General features: G+C 41.8%; 1 long non-coding RNA gene across 5 annotated transcripts in view; it reads left to right on the top strand.

The window, feature by feature from the left end:
• Positions 1-17,828, top strand: part of LOC107985862 (uncharacterized) — a 63,638-nt gene that overhangs the window by 9,176 nt on the left and 36,634 nt on the right. For all 5 annotated transcript variants that reach the window (XR_001739388.1, XR_001739387.1, XR_001739389.1 and 2 more), the window contains exon 2: positions 9,844-9,929. This is a non-coding gene — a long non-coding RNA (uncharacterized LOC107985862). The remainder of the gene's footprint in view (positions 1-9,843; positions 9,930-17,828) is intronic.

Genomic DNA, 17,828 nt, shown 5'->3' with positions numbered 1-17,828 from the left:
ATGCCCTTCTTTGTCTTTTTTGATCTTTGTTGGTTTAAAGTCTCTCTTGTCAGAAACTAGGATTGCAACCCCTGCCTTTTTCTGTTTTCTGTTTGCTTGGTAGATTTTTCTTTATCCCTTTATTTTGAGCCTATATGTGTCATTGCATGTGAGACAGGTCTCTTGAAGATAGCATACCAATGGATTTTGGTTCTTTATCCAGCTTGCCACTCTGTATTATTTAATTGGGCATTTAGCTCATTTACATTTAAGGTTAGTATTGATATGTGTGGATTTGATCCTGTCATCATGATGCTAGCTGGTTATTATGCTGGCTTGTTTATGTGGTTGCTTTATAGTGTCACTGGTCTGTGTACTTCAATGTGTTTTTGTAGTGGCTGGTAACAGTCTTTCCTTCCCATAGTGCTTCCTTCAGGAGCTCTTGTAAGGCAGGTCTGGTGGTAACAAATTCTCTCAGCGCTTGCTTCTCTGAAAAGAATCTTATTTCTTCTTCACTTATGAAGCTTAGTTTGACTGGATATGAAATTCTTGGTTTGTATTTATTTTCTTTAGGAATGTTGAATATTGGCACTCAGTTTCTTCTGGCTGTAGGGTTTCAGCTGAGAGGTTCACTGTTTTCTGATGGGTTTTCTTTTCTTTCTAACTGTTTTTAACATTTTTTTCTTTCATTTCAACCTTGGAGAATCTGTTGATTATGTGTCTTGGGGATGATCTTATCATGAAGTATATTACTGGTGTTCTCTGGATTTCCTGAATTTGAATATTGGCCTCTCTTGTAGGTTGGGGAAGTTTTAATGGATGATATCATAAAATATGTTTTCCAAATCGGTTCCATTCTCTCCATCTCTTTCAGGTACACCAATCCGTTTTAGATTCAGTCTCTTTATATAATTTCATATTTCTTGATGGTTTTGTTTGTTCCTTTTCATTCTTTTTTCTCTAATTTTGTCTGCCTTCTTATTTCAGAAATCCAGTCTTCAAGTTCCGAAATTCTTCCCTCTGCCTGGTCTATTCTGCTATTAATACTTATTATTGCATTATGGAATTCATGTAGTGTGTTTTTCATCTCTATTGGGTCAGTTATGTTCTTCTCTATACCGGCTATTTGGTCTGTCAGCTCCTGCAATGTTTTATCATAATTTTTAGCTTTCTTGCATTGGGTTGCAATGTCCTCCTTTAGCTTAGTGAAGCTCATTCCTATCCATATTCTAAATTCTACTCCTGTCATTTCAGTCATCTCAGCCTCAGCCTAGTTCTGAACCATTGCTGGAGAGGTGGTGCAGGTTATTTGGAGGAAAGAGGGTACTCTGTTTTTTTAGTTTTTAGTGTTCTTGAACTGACTTTTTTTTCCTCATCTTTGTGGGCTTATCTACTGTAACTCCTTGAGGTTGCTGACCTTTGGATTTTTTTTTTTCTTTTAACAATCTGCCACTTTTCTGTAGGGCTGCTGTCTGGGGTCTGCTCCAGTTTCTGGGGGTATGCTCCAGTTTCTAGTCACCTTGGATTTTCCAGTACCTGGAGGTATCACCAGTGAAGGCTGTGAAACAGCAAAGATGGTAGCCTGCCTCTTTCTCTGGGAGCTCTGTCCCAGGAAGGTATAGACCTATTGCTGGTCTAAAGGCACCTGTATGAAGTGGCTGTAGACCCTGGTTGGGACCAGGTAAACCCTGGGAGGGCCTCCAGTGAGGGTTGGGAGGTCCTGCCCAGTGAGGAGGAATGGACTGGGGACTTGCCTAAAGGAGCAGTCTGCTCACATTTTGGTAGAGCAGCTGTGCTGTGCTGGGGGACCCCTTTTACTCCCAGTTAGTTTGGATTCTCCAAAGCCCACAGGATAGAAGGGTCCAAAGGGTGGAAGGGCCAAGTTGCCTAAACAGCAAAGATGGCCACCTGCCCCTCCCACTGGGAACTCTATCCCAGGTAGGTGCAACACTGCTGCCAGTGGCTGGCTGGAATTTCAAGCCAGTGGATCTTATCCTGTAAGGTGCCATGGGAGTGGGGCCTGCAGACTGTTGCCCCTTGGTGCCCTGGATTCAGTCTCTTTCCCTGGGATATGTAGGGGGGTGTAATCTCCTGCTTTGCCAGAGTTTCAGTTACTTTTGCTGGGAAGCCCAGAGCTGAAGTATCTAAAGCTCCTGGGTCTCCGTGCTTGCCTGAGTGACTGCTCTGCCAAGACTCCAAATATCTCTCTGTGTCAGACTGTAGGCCCTGGTGGAGTCGGTTTGTGAGGGGTTCTCCTGACCCAAGAGTTGTAAAGCTTTGTGGGAAAAGCATGGTTTCCTGGGGTCGCACATTCACTCACTGCGTCCTGGGTCGGGGAGGTTCCCCAGGCTCCTGGGTTTGCCATCATACTGCCTTGCTTTTTTCTGTTCTCTGTGGGTCGAGTTGTTTCCTTGATTAGTCTCAGTGTGAGTACCTGGATGTTTCAGTTGAAGGTGCTGAATTTATGCACCCCTTTCATTCTTCTCTGTGAGAGCCACTCACCCTAGCTTCTTCTAGTTGGCCATCTTGACCACTTCCCGTGTTTTTTTTCAGATTGTTCACTGTTGGCCTATAGAAATACTTTTTGTTGTGTTTTGTTTTGTTTTATTGAGACACGGTCCTGCTGTGTCACCCAGGCTGAAGTACAGTGGTGTGATCTCAGCTCACTGCAACCTTCACCCCCTTGGGGTCAAGCGATCCTCCCACCTCAGCCTCCCGGGTAGCTGGGACTACAGGCGTGTGCCACCATGCCTGGCTAATGGCTAATTTTTGTATTTTTTGTAGAGACAGGGTTTCATCATGTTGCTCAGGCTGGTCTCTAATGTCTGGACTCAAGCTATCTGCCCACCTTGGCCTCTCAAAGTGCCAAGGTTACTGGCATGAGGCACTGTGCCCGGCCAGAAATGCTACTGATTTTTGGATGCTGATTTTGTGTCTTGAAACTTTACTGAACTTATCAGTTCTATGGTTTTCTTGGTGGAGTCTTCAGGTTTTTCCAAATATAAGATTATGTCACCTGCAAACAAGAATAATTTGACTTCCCTTTCAACTTGGATGCCTTTTGATTCTTTCTCTTGTCTGATTTCTCTAGCTATGACTTCCCATACTATGTTGAATAATGCTGGTGAAAGTGGGCATCCTTGTCTTGTTTCATATCTTAGTGGAAAGATTTTCAGTTTTTCCCTATTCAGCATGATACTAGCTGTGGGTCAATTGTCTATGGCTTTTATTGTGTTGAGGTATGTTTCTGCTGTACTCAGTTTTTTCAGGGTTTTTATCTTAAAGGAATGTTGAATTTTATCCAATACTTTTTTCAGCATCAATTGAAATGATCATAAAGTTTCTGTCCTTTATTCTGTTGATATATCACATTGATTGATTTGCATATGTGTTGAACCGTCATTGTATCCCTGGGATGAATCCTTCTAGGTCGTGACTAATGGTCCTTTTAATGTGTTATTTTTATTTCTATTATTATTATTTTTTTTGAGACAGAGTCTCGCTCTGTCGCCCAGGCTGGAGTGCAGTGGTGCAATCTCGGCTCACTGCAAGCTCCGCCTCCCGAGTTCACGCCCTTCTCCTGCCTCAGCCTCCTGAATAGCTGGGACTACAGGCACCTGCCACACCACGCCTGGCTAATTTTTTTGTATTTTTAGTAGAGACGGGGTTTCACTGTGTTAGCCAAGATGGTCTCGATCTCCTGACCTCGTGATTCACCCATCTTGGCCTCCCAAAGTGCTGGGTTTAATGTGTTACTGAATTTGGTTTGCTAGTCTTCTGTTGAGAATTTTTGCATAAATATTTAGCAGAGATATTGGCCTGTAGTTTTTTGTTTTTTTTTTTCTAATGTGTCTTTGTCTGGTTTAGTATCAGGGTAATACTGGCATCATAGAATTAGTTTGGAAATATTCCTTTCTCTGTTTTTTGGAATAGTTTGATTAAGTTTGGTAGTAGTTCTTTAAATATTTGGTAGATTTCAGTAGTGATGCCATCAGGTCCCAGGCTTTTCTTTACTGGGAGACTTTTTATTATGGTTTTGATCTTGTTACTTGTTATTGGTCTATTCAGGTTTTGAATTTTTTCATGGTTCAAACTTGGTAGGTTGTATGGGTCTAGGAATTTATAAATTTCTTCTATATTTTCCAATTTATTGGCATATAGTTGCTCATAGTAGCCACTAATGATACTTTGAATTTTTGTGGTATCAGTTGCAATGTCTCCTTTTTCATCTCCAATTTTATTTATTTGGGTCTTCTCTCTTTTTTGCTTAGTCTCACTAAAGGTTTGTCAATTTTGTTTATGTTTTCAAAAAAACCAACATTTCATTTCGTTAATCTTTTGTATTTTTTTGTTTCAATTATGTTTATTTCCGCTCTGATCTTTATTATTTCTTTTCTCCTACTAATTTTAGATTTAGTTTGCTTTTGTTTTTCTAGTTTTTAAAGATGCATCATTCGGTTGTTTATTAAAAGTTTTTCTGCTTTTATTGATGTAAGTGGTTATTGCTATGAACTTTGTTCTTGGTACTGCTTTTGCTGTATCCCATAGATTTTAGTATGTTGTGTTTCTATTTTTGTTTGTTTTAAGAAATTTTTAAATTTTCTTCATAATTTCTTCACTGACTCACTGGTCATTCAGGAGCATATTGTTTAATCTCCAGGTATTTGTATAGTTCTCAAAGTATCTCTTGTTATTGATATCTGGTTTCATTCCATTGTAGTCAGAGAAAATACTTGATATAATTTCAATTTTCTGAACGTTTTAAGATTTGTTTTGTGGCCTAACATATAGTCTATCCTTGAGATTGATCCATGTGCTAAGGAGAAGAATGTGCATTCTGCAGCCATTGGTTAAAATATTCTGTAAATATCTATTAGGTTTATTTGGTTTATAGTGCAGATTAGGTCCAATATTCCTAGGCTGATTTTCTGTCTGGATGATCAGTCTAATATTGAAAGTGGGGTATTGAAGTCTCCATGTGTTGTATTGGGGTTGATCTCTGTTTTTAGCTCTAATAATATTTGCTTTTATATATCTGAGCACTCCAGTGCTGGATGCCTATATGTTTACAACTTTTGTATCCTCTTATTGAATTGACCCCTTTATCATTACATCATGCCCTCTTTGTCTCTTATTTATAGTGCAGATTAGGTCCAATATTCCTTGGTTGATTTTCTGTCTGGATGATCAGTCTAATACTGAAAGTTGGGTATTGAAGTCTCCATGTATTGTATTGGGGTTGATCTCTCTTTTTAGCTCTAATAATATTTGCTTTTATATATCTGAGCACTCCAGTGCTGGATGCATATATGTTTACAACTTTTGTATCCTCTTATTGAATTGACCCCTTTATCATTACATAATGCCCTCTTTGTCTCTTATTCTAGTTTTGTCTTGAAATTTATTTTATCTGATACAGCTACTACTGCTTTTTTTTTTTTTTTGGTTTTCATGTGCATGGAATATCTTTTTCCATCCCTTATTTTCAGCCCATGTGTGTCTTTGTAGGTGAAGCATGTTTCTTGTAGGCAACAGGTCATTTGGTCTTGTTTTTAAAATCTGTTTAGCCACTCTATGCTTTTGAGTAGAGAGATTAGTCCATTTACATTCAATGTTATTATTGATAAGTATAAACTTACTACATTCATTTTTGTTATTTGTTTTCTGTTTCCTTCCTTCCTTCCTTCCTTCCTTCCTTCCTTCCTTCCTTCCTCTTCCTTTTTGTGAAAGTGATTTTCTTTGGTGGTATCTTTAATTTCTTGCTTTATATGTGTTTTGTGTATCTGTTGTAGGTTTTTTGATTTAAAGTTATCATGAGGTTTGCAAATAACATCTTATAACCTATTATTTTAAACTGATGACAACTTAACTCTGATTACAAAAACAAACAAGCAAAGCGAAAAGTAACAAAACCTTTATACTTTAACATCATCTCCCCTGCTTTTCAACTTTTTGTTTATTTACATCTTATTTTACTATCTATATCTTGACAATTTGTAGTTATTATTTTTGATAGGTTCATTTTTAATCTTCCTACTCAAGATATAAGTAGTTTACACATCACAATTACTATGTTATAATAGTCTATATCTATTTACTTACTGTTACCAGTAGCTTTGTACCATCAGATGATTTCTTATTGCTCATTAACATCCTTTTTTTTCAGATTGAAGAATTCCCTTTATCTTTTCTTGTAGGAAGGACTAGTGCTGACAAAAATCTTTCAATTTTTGTTTGTCTGGGAAAGTCTTTATTTCCCCTTCATGTCTGAAGGATATTTTTGCTAGATGTACTATTCTAGGGTAAAAGTGTTTTTTTACATATATCATGCGACTCTCATCTGGCCTGTAAGGTTTCCACTTAAAAGCCTGCTGCCAGACATATTGGAGCTCCTTTTTCTGTTATTTTTTTTCTGTTCTCTTGCTGCTTTTAGGATCCTTCCTTTATCCTTGACCTTTGGGAGTTTGACTATTAAATGTCTTGAGTCAGTCTTTTTTGGGGCTAAATCTGATTGGTGTTGTATAACCTTCTTGTACTTGAGTGTTGATATCTTTCTGTAGGTTTGGGAAGTTCTCTGATATTATTCTTTTGAATAAACTTTCTACCCCAATCTCTCTGTCTAACTCCTCTTTAAGGCCAATAACTTTAGATTTTCTCCTTTGAAGCTGTTTTCTAGATCTTGTAGATAATTTTTTAAAAATTCTTTTTCTTTTGTCTCCTCTGAATATGTATTTTCATATAGCCTGTTTCAAGCTTATGAATTCTTTCTTCTACTTGATTAGTTCTGTTGTTAAGAGACTCTTGTGCATTCTTCAGTATGCCCATTGCAGTTTTCAGCTCCAGAATTTTTGCTTGATTCTTTGTAGTCATTTCAATCTTTCCATTAAATTTATCTGACAGAATTCTTAATTCCTTCTCTGTGTTATCTTGGATTTCACTGAGCTTCCTCAAAACAGCTATTTTGAATTATCTGTCTGAAAAGTCACATATTTCTGCCCCTCTGGGATTGGCCTGTGTTACTGTTTTTAGTTCCTGTGGTGGGTAATATTTTCTGTGGATAGTCTTGATGCTTGGGGATGTTCGTGGATGTCTGGGAATTGAAGAATTAGGTATTTATTGTAGTCCTGGCAGTCTGGGCTTGTTTGTGCCCATCCTTCTTGGGAAGGCTTTCTAAGTATTCAGAGAGACTTGAGTGTTGCGATGTAAGTCTTTGGTCATTGCAGCCATATCTGCCTTAGGGAGGACCCCAATCCCAGTAACACTGTGGCTGTTGCAGACTTGTATAGGTACCACCTTAGTGGTCTTGGGTAAGATCCATGAGAATTCTCTGGATTATCAGTCAGTGACTCTTGTTCTTTTCCCTTACTCACCCCCAAACAAAAAGAGTCTGTCTCTCTGTGCTGAGTTGCCTGAAGCTGGGGGTTTGCTGACACAAGCACCCCCTGTGGCCAGCACCTCTGGTAGTGCACTGGATCAGACCCAAAGCTAGCAGAGAACTGGGTCTCACCCCACGCCTATGGTGACCACTGCCTGGTTCACTCAAGGCCCAAAAGCTCTGCAAGCATCAGGTGGTAAATACTGCCAGGCTTATGTCCTTCTGCTTAGGGCAATGAGTTCTCCTTGGTCCTGGGAGGGTCCAGATCTGCCACCTGGGAGCCAGGGTCTGGTGTCAGGAACCTTACAAATCTACCCGGTTTTCTATTCTACTATGGCTGAGCTGGCACCCAAGCCATGAGACAAAGTCCTTTTTAGTCTTCCCTCTCCATTACTTAAAGAGAGGAGTCTCTCCCTGTGGCTACCACCACCCCAGGCCTGTGGTGAGTACTGGCTTGCTACTGCCAATGTTCTATCAAGGCCTAAGAGCTCTTATGGTCAGCTTATGGTGAATGCTGCCAGGCATGAGTCTCTCCCTTTAGGGCAGTGGGCTTCACTCTGGCCCAGGGAAGGTCCAGAAATGCCAGCCAGGAGCCAAGACCTGGAATCAGGGAAAGCAGGAGTCTACTTGTCACTCTATCCCAGTGTGGCTAAGCTGGTATCCAAGCTCCAAGATAAAGTCCCCTTTACTCTTCCCTCTTTTTTCCCCAAGCAAAAGAAGTCTTTTCCTGTAGCCACCACAGCTGGGAATATGCTGGGTCACACCTGAAGCCAGCATGGCTCTGAGTCTTACCTGAGGCCAATGATGAGTCCTGCCTGGCTACCACTACTGATTATTCAGGGCCCAAGGGCTCTTTAGTCAGCAGGTGATTAATCTTGCCAGAACTAGGACATTCCCTTCAAGGTAGTGAGTTCCATTCTAGCCTAGGATGTGTCCAGAAATGCCATCCCAGAGCTAGGGCCTGAAATAGGAGCCTCAGGACTCTGTCTGGTGCCCTATTCTACTATGACCAAGCTGGTATCCAAGTTAGAAGACAGTCTTTTTTACTGTCTCCTCTCCTTTCCTCAAACAGAAGAAAAGTGTCTCTCCTGGATCTGTGAACTGTGCTGCCTAGAGTTGGGGGAAGGGTGATACAAGCACTCCCTTGGCTACCCTAGCTGGTGTCTCACTAAGTCACATGCACCCTAAGCCCACTGGCTCCAAACCCAGCACAACACCAGGACTTTCCCAGGAATTGCAGTTTTTGTGGCCCAGATTACCTTTTAAGTTTATTTCAGGACCCCAGAGCACTTTAGCCCATGTTGGTGGGGCTTGCCAGAACTCAGGCTTTGACTGCTACAATTAACAACTTGCCTCTGAGGACAAAAATCCAAACACCACATGTTCCCACTCATAGGTAGGAATTGAACAATGAGAACACTTGGACACAGGAAGGGGAACATCACACACCGGGGGGCCTGTTGTGGGGTGGGGGGAGGGATAGCATTAGGAGATATACCTAATGTAAATGACGAGTTAATGGGTGCAGCACACCAACATGGCACATGTATACATATGTAACAAACCTGCACGTTGTGCACATGTACCCTAGAACTTAAAGTATAATAAAAAATAAAAAATAAAAAATAAAAACCTTGCCTCTGGCTAGGGCTGGTCTAAACGTTCACTCTATGTGCACTGGCTGAATTCTGTCCCATGTTGCTTTCTGCTGTGACAGGGCAGCACTGGGTTCCAATGCAAAGTCCCACAATCACTTTGCTCTCCCTCCCCCAAGCACACAGATTCTCTCTCTGTGCCATGTGGCCAGTGATGGGGGTCGTGTGGTGTAGGTGATTGAAAACTCTCTTTCTTACCCTCTTCAGTGCCTGTTTCCTTGATATAAATTTAAAACTAGGCACTGTAATTGCTCACCTGATTTTTGATTCTCATAAAGGTGGTTTTTTGTATGTGGATAGTTGTTTAACTTGTTTTTCCTGCAGGGGGATCTCTAGAGGGTTCTATTTGGCCATAGTTGTCTGCCTCCTCCCCTATATTGCCTATTAGTTTTGCTGGTTCCATCTCATGGCATCTTTTCTTTTTGTGTGTCTGATTATCTTTAATCGTGTGAATTATCCTGTAATCACACTATGATTTTTAGAAATAATTTGAGACCCAGGAAGAGCTTGTCTTTCTCTAAGGAGTATTTTTAAAAATATTTAGTTAGATTATGACAGTATGTGGGAGAGCTAGCAATATGAATTCATCTTAATCCTAGTTCAGGGCTTGATATTTTCTGTGTTACCCAGATAGCTTGAAGGTGGTATACAGTCCATGGAAGGACTTGTTTCTTTTGATTTTATTCTCTTTTCTAAGATGCAAAAGTTCAGGGTGCAAAATGGGAGGTTGTTTTCTAAGATCCTGACTCTCTATTGCCTTGGATTGTGATCTTTGCACTTTGTCCTTTAAGCCTTCTCCAAAGCATAACTCTGTCTTTCGGTTATCACTTCCAGATCAATAAATGTCCACAGGACAAAAGCAGTGCCAACTGTGGGGCTCACCTTCCTGGATTCCTGTCTTCTTCCTAGATCTTGGTCCGGTAAGTTTTCTAACATCTTGTTGGTTCTCTGATGCTTAAAGAAAATTCAAAAACATTTCACCACTTCTTTTTATCTGTCTTCAGTGGAAGGGTTGGTCTGAATAACCTAGTCCACCATTCAAGGCCCAGTTGGCTTTCCTTAAGGTTTTGCTACACAGTTTTGTATTTCTAAACCATGTATCATGCGGGTTCCTTTTCTGTGCTTATAAAACTTTTTATATGGAATGTATTTTTCTGAAAATTGTTTTTCAGTATCACCCCTGTTGATGTGTGTGGCTTTAGTTCATTTATTTTTGCCAATGTATAGAGTTTCATTGTGTAAATATATCAAACTTTATTAATTGTCCTATCAATTGGTATTTGGGTTATTTTCAATTTATTTGCTATTATGAACAATGCTAACATTGAATTCATAACATTTAGTGCAAATATTTTAAAAGAGATCTTAGTAAATTGAGAGATATATCATGTTCATGGGTAAAGAGACACCACATTGCAAACATGTCTGTTTTCCCCAAATTGATTTATAGATTCAATTAACTTTTATATATATAACAACTTCAACATGCTTATTCCCACGGAGAGTCCATTGCTCATTAGACACCATGCTGCTCTAGAGACACATGGAAAAATAGAAGATGGACCCTGACTTCCACAAAATAGTTGTTTTAAATATCGCTTTGTCTTCCACCTCTTCTTTGCCCAAAGTAATAACTTCTTTCAATTGAGAAAAAGAAGGCCAAATTAAATAAATACTTTCAACTTTAAGTAGGTGTTATGCTATGAAGTACAAAGTATGAAGTATGTTCTAAATGTTCTAAATCTAGAACACTTTCACCTAGGACATGTTCTGAGAATCACATTCCCAGGTGGTAGCAAATAGTCATGAACAGAATTAGGGAGAGGCAAACAGGGCACACAGATGTTACTTGATGTTACTTATGTTATTTTCCTTTATAATTATTCTTTTGTGTTTACTCAATATTTAACAGAAACAATTTTAAAAACTGTTTTATAATAGAGGGGAAAATGTTTTAGAGGCTTATGTTGCAATTCTTAGTTTGGATGGTGAGCTCATGAGTATTTGTTTTATATGCATACACATTATATAAACACACATACAATCACATCTATACTTCCATATGTATCAAATGTTACAAAATACATCATTAAAAATGTCAGGAACAGATCACCCCTCCACCTTTGCCCCCAACTCCGTACATAGTGGACTCACTCCTCCCCAGTCCCATACCTCGGTGCACTCCACCCTGTTCCCTCGGCCCTATACCCCAGTGTGCCCCAGCCCTGCCCCAGCCTCCACTGTGTTTCCTTCCTCCCCGCACAACTGCCCCTCAGCTGATTTCTCCTCTGCAGCACAGACTCCCTGGAGAATGCAGCTTAGTTTCAGGGGTGAAGACAAGCCGCCTGCTAGGGGTAGCAGTGGACAGCAGGAAGCTGTGCCCCTGGGCAAAAAGCCACAGTAGCAGCTCACCTAAGAGCATAGGCAGTTCTCTATCCCACTGGGTCCACAATGGCCTGGGGACAGCCCAGCACCCAGAATAGTGCTCAGCAGGGACTGCAGACTCAGGATTGGACTGCCACACAGATCATGGCCCAGGTGGTGTCTGAGGAGGACACGGACAAGGATGTGCTTCTCCCCCAGCTGCTGAAGTCCAATGAGTCCATCAGTGCTTTCTGCCCCTTCCTGGCAGAATGAGACTTTCAAGCTTGGGCTTCCAAGTCACCCTCCTTCTCAAAGCTTGACTCAGTCAAGAACAGACAGAGACGCAAGTCTTCAATGAACTTCTTGAAGATTATCAATCTGAAAATCTTCATTAGGAAATTCCTGCTCTTGAGTGGGGTGGGTTCAGGGAGATCGGGAAAAACGAGAAAAGGCTTTTGCTTCAGAGTTAAGTTATGTGGCCTTTGTGTTGGCCTTTGTACTTTGCTCTTGGTTGCCATAGATGAGGCTCAATAAGGCTTGGGTCAGGGGTCTAGGCCCTCTGGATCCAGCCTACAGGCCAGGTCAAAGGCTAATGACACTTATGTGACTTTTACCAGGTCTCTAGTTTGGTGTTGTGCTCACTGCATCCTGGGAAACTTCAATGCCCTTTTAGGCCCTGGTCTGCTTCGTGGATAGCAGCTGCCTTCCTAGATGCTCCTGGTCCTTCTTCCTGAGACTCAGATCTGAGTCCAGGCTGCTTTCTTCTTCTCTTACACAACCACCTCCTTCTCTAGTCCTTGATGTTCCCTTCTCTAAATACTGGCTATGAAATTGATGAGTCTCCAAAGCTTTTTCTAAGATGGCTGCCAAGTTCCCTTTTGTTTCATTTTTATTTTACTAAGGCAGGACCATTCTGGCGAGATGGGCTCTCCTCCCACCTCTGGTTCAAGGGTTCCCCACAGACTTGGCTGAGCCTTTCTTGGAACTGGTCTGTAGTATGAAACTCTTCCTAGCCAGGCTTCCTTTCTGTCCTCTCTCCTTCCATGGTGTCAGTACTGCATCATTGTCTGAGGCTCTCTTCACCTTTTTGTGCATCATCTTCTAACAACTGTCTTTCATTTTTTTTTTTTTGAGTTGGAGTCTCACTCTGTCATCCAGGCTGGAGTGCAGTGATGCAATCTCTGCTCACTGCAACCTCCACCTCCTGGGTTCCAGTGATTCTCCTGCTCCAGCTTCCTGAGTAGCTGGGATTATAGGCGTGTGCCACCATGCCTGGCTAATTTTTGTGTTTTTAGTAGAGACGGGGTTTCACCATGTTGACTAGGCTGGTTTTAGACTCCTGACCTCAGGTGATCCACCCACCTCAGCCTCCCAAAGTGCTGGGATTACAGGTGTGAGCCACCTTGTCCGGCCTCTAATCCCATCTTGATGTCTGCTTCTTGGTGAGCCTGAGTTGATGAACTAATGCAGCCTTTCCTTTTTAGCACACAGGCCTGTAGAAGCAACATAAGTAGGATCAAAATATTCCTTCTGAAATTTGGGTTTCTGAGATTCTTCATAGAGGGGCACACACATCCCCATGAGTCTAAGTGGAGATATACTCTCCTGGGGATTTTATTATACCTCCTTATGTATCTGGGACTCAAAACTATCTGTCAGCCTCTGATCAGAGATCTGGAGACTAGAAGCCAGTCCTGGAACTGGAGCCAGCTGCAGGTGTGAGAAGAAGCCCAGGAAGGTGGAGCTCCATGTCTAGGAGGCTGGGGCAGGAAGACCTGGTGAGAGGAAGGTGGAATATATGGGTAGACAGGCAGAGGAATAGAGCAACCTGGGAGATCGCTGAGGTGAGGGGTCTGACAAACTGTACCCTCATCCTCAGGTATGATGCCAAACCCAAGACTAATCCCTGAAGACAGGAACAGGGTCAACACCTGATCCCAGAGGAGCTCGACCATAGCTGGGAAAAACTGGACAGGATGCTGACCACATTGGCTCAGTGGTGCATCATGGGTCCTTCTGCGCTAGGCAGGACTCCTTGAAGTCCTGCTGATTGGGAACAAGGTTAGAATCAGAGTCTCGGGTAGAAAGAATTTGAGAGTGAGGTCAGGTGGAAAGGGGGTGGTGGGGGGCTCAGGAAAATAGGTTCCTTCATGAGTGGAGAAGGGTGGGCAGCTCCCTAGGTACCTGCCTGTTCTGTGAGCCATACAAAAGGCTGCAGCAATGCTGTATGCTGTCTTTGTGGAGGACACTTGGGAAGAACACTGGACAGGCAAAATCTGGGGTACATCTTACTTTGTGACAATCTAGCGATTGCCTGAGGTCTGCATTTTCATGGGCATGACAGACATATATGAACATTTCTCAAAGTGCAGCAATTGGATAGATCAGCTCTTTAGCAGCACCATGAGCTGAAGAAGCTTGAAGGACCCTGACAGATGCTGGAAGTTCCTGGTAATGGCACTAATGGAAAATGTGGACATTTGAGAGCTGACTGCTTTCTTTAGCCTTTAATTCCAATTTCCTTTCCAAATCTATCTTCAACCCAAATTGCTACAAAGGGGAAAACTGACATGCTAAACCTCTTCCTGGGCTCAGGCTTAACAAAGGCACAAACAGTTAAAAAATCTCTACAGAGGGAAGGAGGAGTAGCCAAGCTTTTCATAATGCAGATGCCGCAATGTCAATTCCCAAATGCACTGAGCTGGCTAGCAAGTGGCAGAACTGATGTAGAAACTGGACAAATTCTAGGAAGCACATGGGTGCCAGTGGCAGGCAGTGAAGCCAACAGCCACAGTAGGCCAGACAGCAGGGAATTAGGAGGCTGAGAGTTCAAGAGGAACCAGATCAAATGCTGTTTCTCAGGTTTGCCACTTTGAAACATTCTCCCTAGTGCCAGTTAAATATTCAGATTCCCAGGTCTCTCTCCAGATGTGCTGCTTTGGAATCTCCAGATGATGACCTAGATTGTTATTAACAAGCATGTTTAGGAAACACTGGTACAGAAGAAAGTGCATCCTAAATCAGAAGATTTGACTGGTTAACTGAATCCTCTGTTGGCCCTCTGATGAAAAGGTTTGCTTGGATTTGTGTCTCGTGATTTCCACCCCTGCTATGATCTCAGACCCTGTGCTAATGTGGAAACATTACTTTGATGGAAACATAGAATGTTGTAACTCAAAGGACTCTTTCAAAGGCCAGGGAAGATGGCAGCAGGCACCAACTACTTTCTAGATACTGTGCTGGGCATTTTTACATGCAATATCTCATTTATTTCTTGTAGCAACCTCAGGCAGGTAATATTTGTTTCTTTTACACGGGAGGAAAGTAAGGATATCACACGCTAAGTATCTTGTCCCAAATCATGCCTTCACAAGGGTCAGAGCTAAAGATTTATTTGAATGCTTTTTGTTTGACATTAAAGCTCTTTGCCTTTCTACCTAAATACATTGCCTTTGATGTCATTGAGACACTTCATTTTGGGGAGAAGTAAATGGAGGCACAGAGGCACAAAGTGACTTGCAAAAAGTTACATAGAGAGTTGTGGTGGGTCTGGGATGGGATCCTGGGACCCCTAGGTCTTGTTCTGGTGCTCTTTCTTCCAAGCCAAGAGCTCATCTCGGTGGAAGGGCCCCTGCAGAGGCTTGTACTTTGGACCTGTTATGCACTTCTTGGATAGCTTCACAGACCAAACTCAAGCTCGTGTCTCTCTGCCAAGATCTCAGGCTTTTATGCTAGCCACATTTTGTTTACCATTTCCCAATATATGAGAATAAGAAAACTACATTAAAGCAAATGTTTATAAGAGTCAAATCTCTTAGATGAGTTTTTTTAAAAGTTTCTATTGAAATAGTTTTAATAGTTGCCTGTGAAAACATACCTTTTACCCACTGATAAAGCAAAATAGGAAGATTGCCAGGCAGGGGTAGGGAATGTGGTGAGGTGAACCACATGTGACAAACAACTCAGTTGGCAGCAGGGAGCTCACTATTGAGCAGGCCGTGTTCTTTGACCTGATGCCCAGCAGCCTCAGGACATCAGAGGAGGCAGGAACCTGTGCAAACCTCTCCCTCATCGCCCCCACTCCACAACTGCAGTGTTCTGGGAATACATGCTGACCTTTCTTCTTTCTACACTTTCTCTTGTGAACTCTCTTCTGCCAGGGATAATCTCCCTGATTTTCTCTCTAATTAATTCTCATTCCTTCTCTAAAGCCATAGTTCAAATTCTGCCTACTTTGTAAACATTTTTTTTCCCTCACAAGGAGATAGCTTCTCTCCCAGTCAGAAACAGTGCTTGGCATCTCTTATGCTCCTCCTTAAATGCTTCCTTGTTTTGTACTGACTTCCATTTTGGTCTTAGCTGCAGGATAAGACGTTCCTTAAGGGAAGGGAATCTTGTCTTTCTCATCTTGTCTTCTCTCAGTGCCTAGCACAGTACCTCAGCCATTAAGGAACACACAGTGAATCTCCAAGCATGGGGCCCAGCATAATAAAACACTTCAGTGATCTTCAACTACCTAATTTCTGAGTCTTCTAACTGAAGAATCTTATGGTTACTTTCCTCACAGCTCTCAACTTCTCTCCTTTCTCAGGCTCTGCTTGGGGAGAACCTTCTTACCTCCTGGTCATTTTAGACCACATGTTTTGGTGCTTGGGAAGAAAGAAATCCTGTTTTTCTTTCTTGGTCAAGATCTATCTGTAAGTCTGGAAGAGCAACTCTTGTCCTCTGTTGACTTCAGGGGCTGGGACTTGATTTTCATTTGAGCTGAAGGATAACTGTGCATTTCTGTGCCTGAAGCAGCCTTCAGGACCCACACTGGTTGTGGAACTGGTTGGTTGAGGAGGACTTAAAGACAATAGAATGAAGCCCCATGGTGGAGGGAACAGGGAGGACCTCCCTCAGCTCTGCCTCCCATGAAGACATCAGAAACCTGAAGGGAGTCCTCAGAGAGAATGTTGCTATAGGCTGTGAAGAAACTTTAGGAGAAGTTTGGGAGCGGGCTAGGATGAGAAGAAATGGCACCAGAAGTGTTTTTTTCAGGGAAGTAGAAGTTTGGGGCAACCAAAGCTGGAGGCTGAGTAGTGGGAGAACTGCTAATTCTTAGAGTGAAAAGCAGTGAAACTCTGAGTTTAGATTCTAGTGGCTTTCAGAGAGACTCACTGGGACCCAGACAGACAGAGTTTGACCTTCCAAGTGACTGAGAGAACTAATGAAAGTGCTTTTGGCTTTGGACTGAAGAGTGACCTGGAAAAGGAAAATACCATATGAGGTTGTGCCCTGAACTCTGAACTCATGTAAAGTAGTTTTACATGCAGTAATTTTGTAACCAAGGTACAAAGAAGTGTGTGGACTAAACAGTTGATTGCTGGAAGGGGCACAATAAAGGAAGAACTAAGGGAGAAAAGACCTGCCACTCTTACTTAGCAAACACTGACAATTTCATATCCTCCTTTCCTATTTGGATGCCTTTTCTTTCTTTCTTTTGCCTCTTTGCTCTGGCAAGGACTTTCAATACTATATTGAATAGAAGTGGTGAGAATGGGCATCTTGTATCAGCCTGTTCTTGCATTGCTATAAAGAAATACTTGAGACTGGGTACTTGATAAAGAAAAGAGGTTTAATTGGCTTGCAGTTTTGCAGGTTATACAAGAAACAAGTTGCTGGCATCTGGTCAGCTTCTGGGGAGGCCTCAGGATACTTACAATCATGGCAGAAGGCAAAGGGGGTGCTGGCATGTCACATGGCTGGAGCAGGAGCAAGAGAGATTAGGCAGGTGCTACACACTTTTAAGCAATCAGATATGTCAGAAACTTACTCTGTATCATGAGAACAGCACCAAGGGGATAGAGCTAAACCATTCATGAGAAATTTGCCTCCATGATCCAATCACCTCCTACCAGGCCCCACCTCCAATACTGGGGATTACAATTCAACATGAGATTTGGGTGAGGACAGAGATACAAACCATTTCATCATCCTTGCTCCAGATCTTAGAGGAAAGACTTTCAAGTTGTCACTATTGAGTATAATGTTTGCTGTGGGCTTGCCATATATGGCCTTTAATGTGTTGAGGTATATTCCTTCTACACCTACTGTGGATGAGAGTTTATCATGAAAGGATGCCAAAATTTGTCAAATGCTTTTTCTGTATCTAATGATATGATCATATGGTTTTTGTCCTTCATTCTGTTAATGTGATGTATCACATTTATTGATTTGCATATGTTGAACCATCCTTGCATCCCAGAGGTAAATTCCACTTGATAATGGTAGATGATCCTTTTAGTGTGTCATTGAATTCTTTTTCCTAGTATTTTGTTGGGAATTTTTGCATCTGTGTTCATCAGGGATATTCACCCATAATTTTCTATTCTTGTAGTATCCTTGTCTGGCTTTGGTATCAAGGTAATGCTGGCTTCATAAAAAGAGATTGGAAGTATTTCTTCTTCTTTGAT

This window comes from Homo sapiens, chromosome 2, assembly GCF_000001405.40.
Source record: "Homo sapiens chromosome 2, GRCh38.p14 Primary Assembly".
In the NCBI taxonomy this organism is placed as follows: domain Eukaryota; kingdom Metazoa; phylum Chordata; class Mammalia; order Primates; family Hominidae; genus Homo; species Homo sapiens.
The sequence above is the reverse complement of the archived record's forward strand: the minus strand, read 5'-3'. Positions and strand labels throughout refer to the sequence as shown.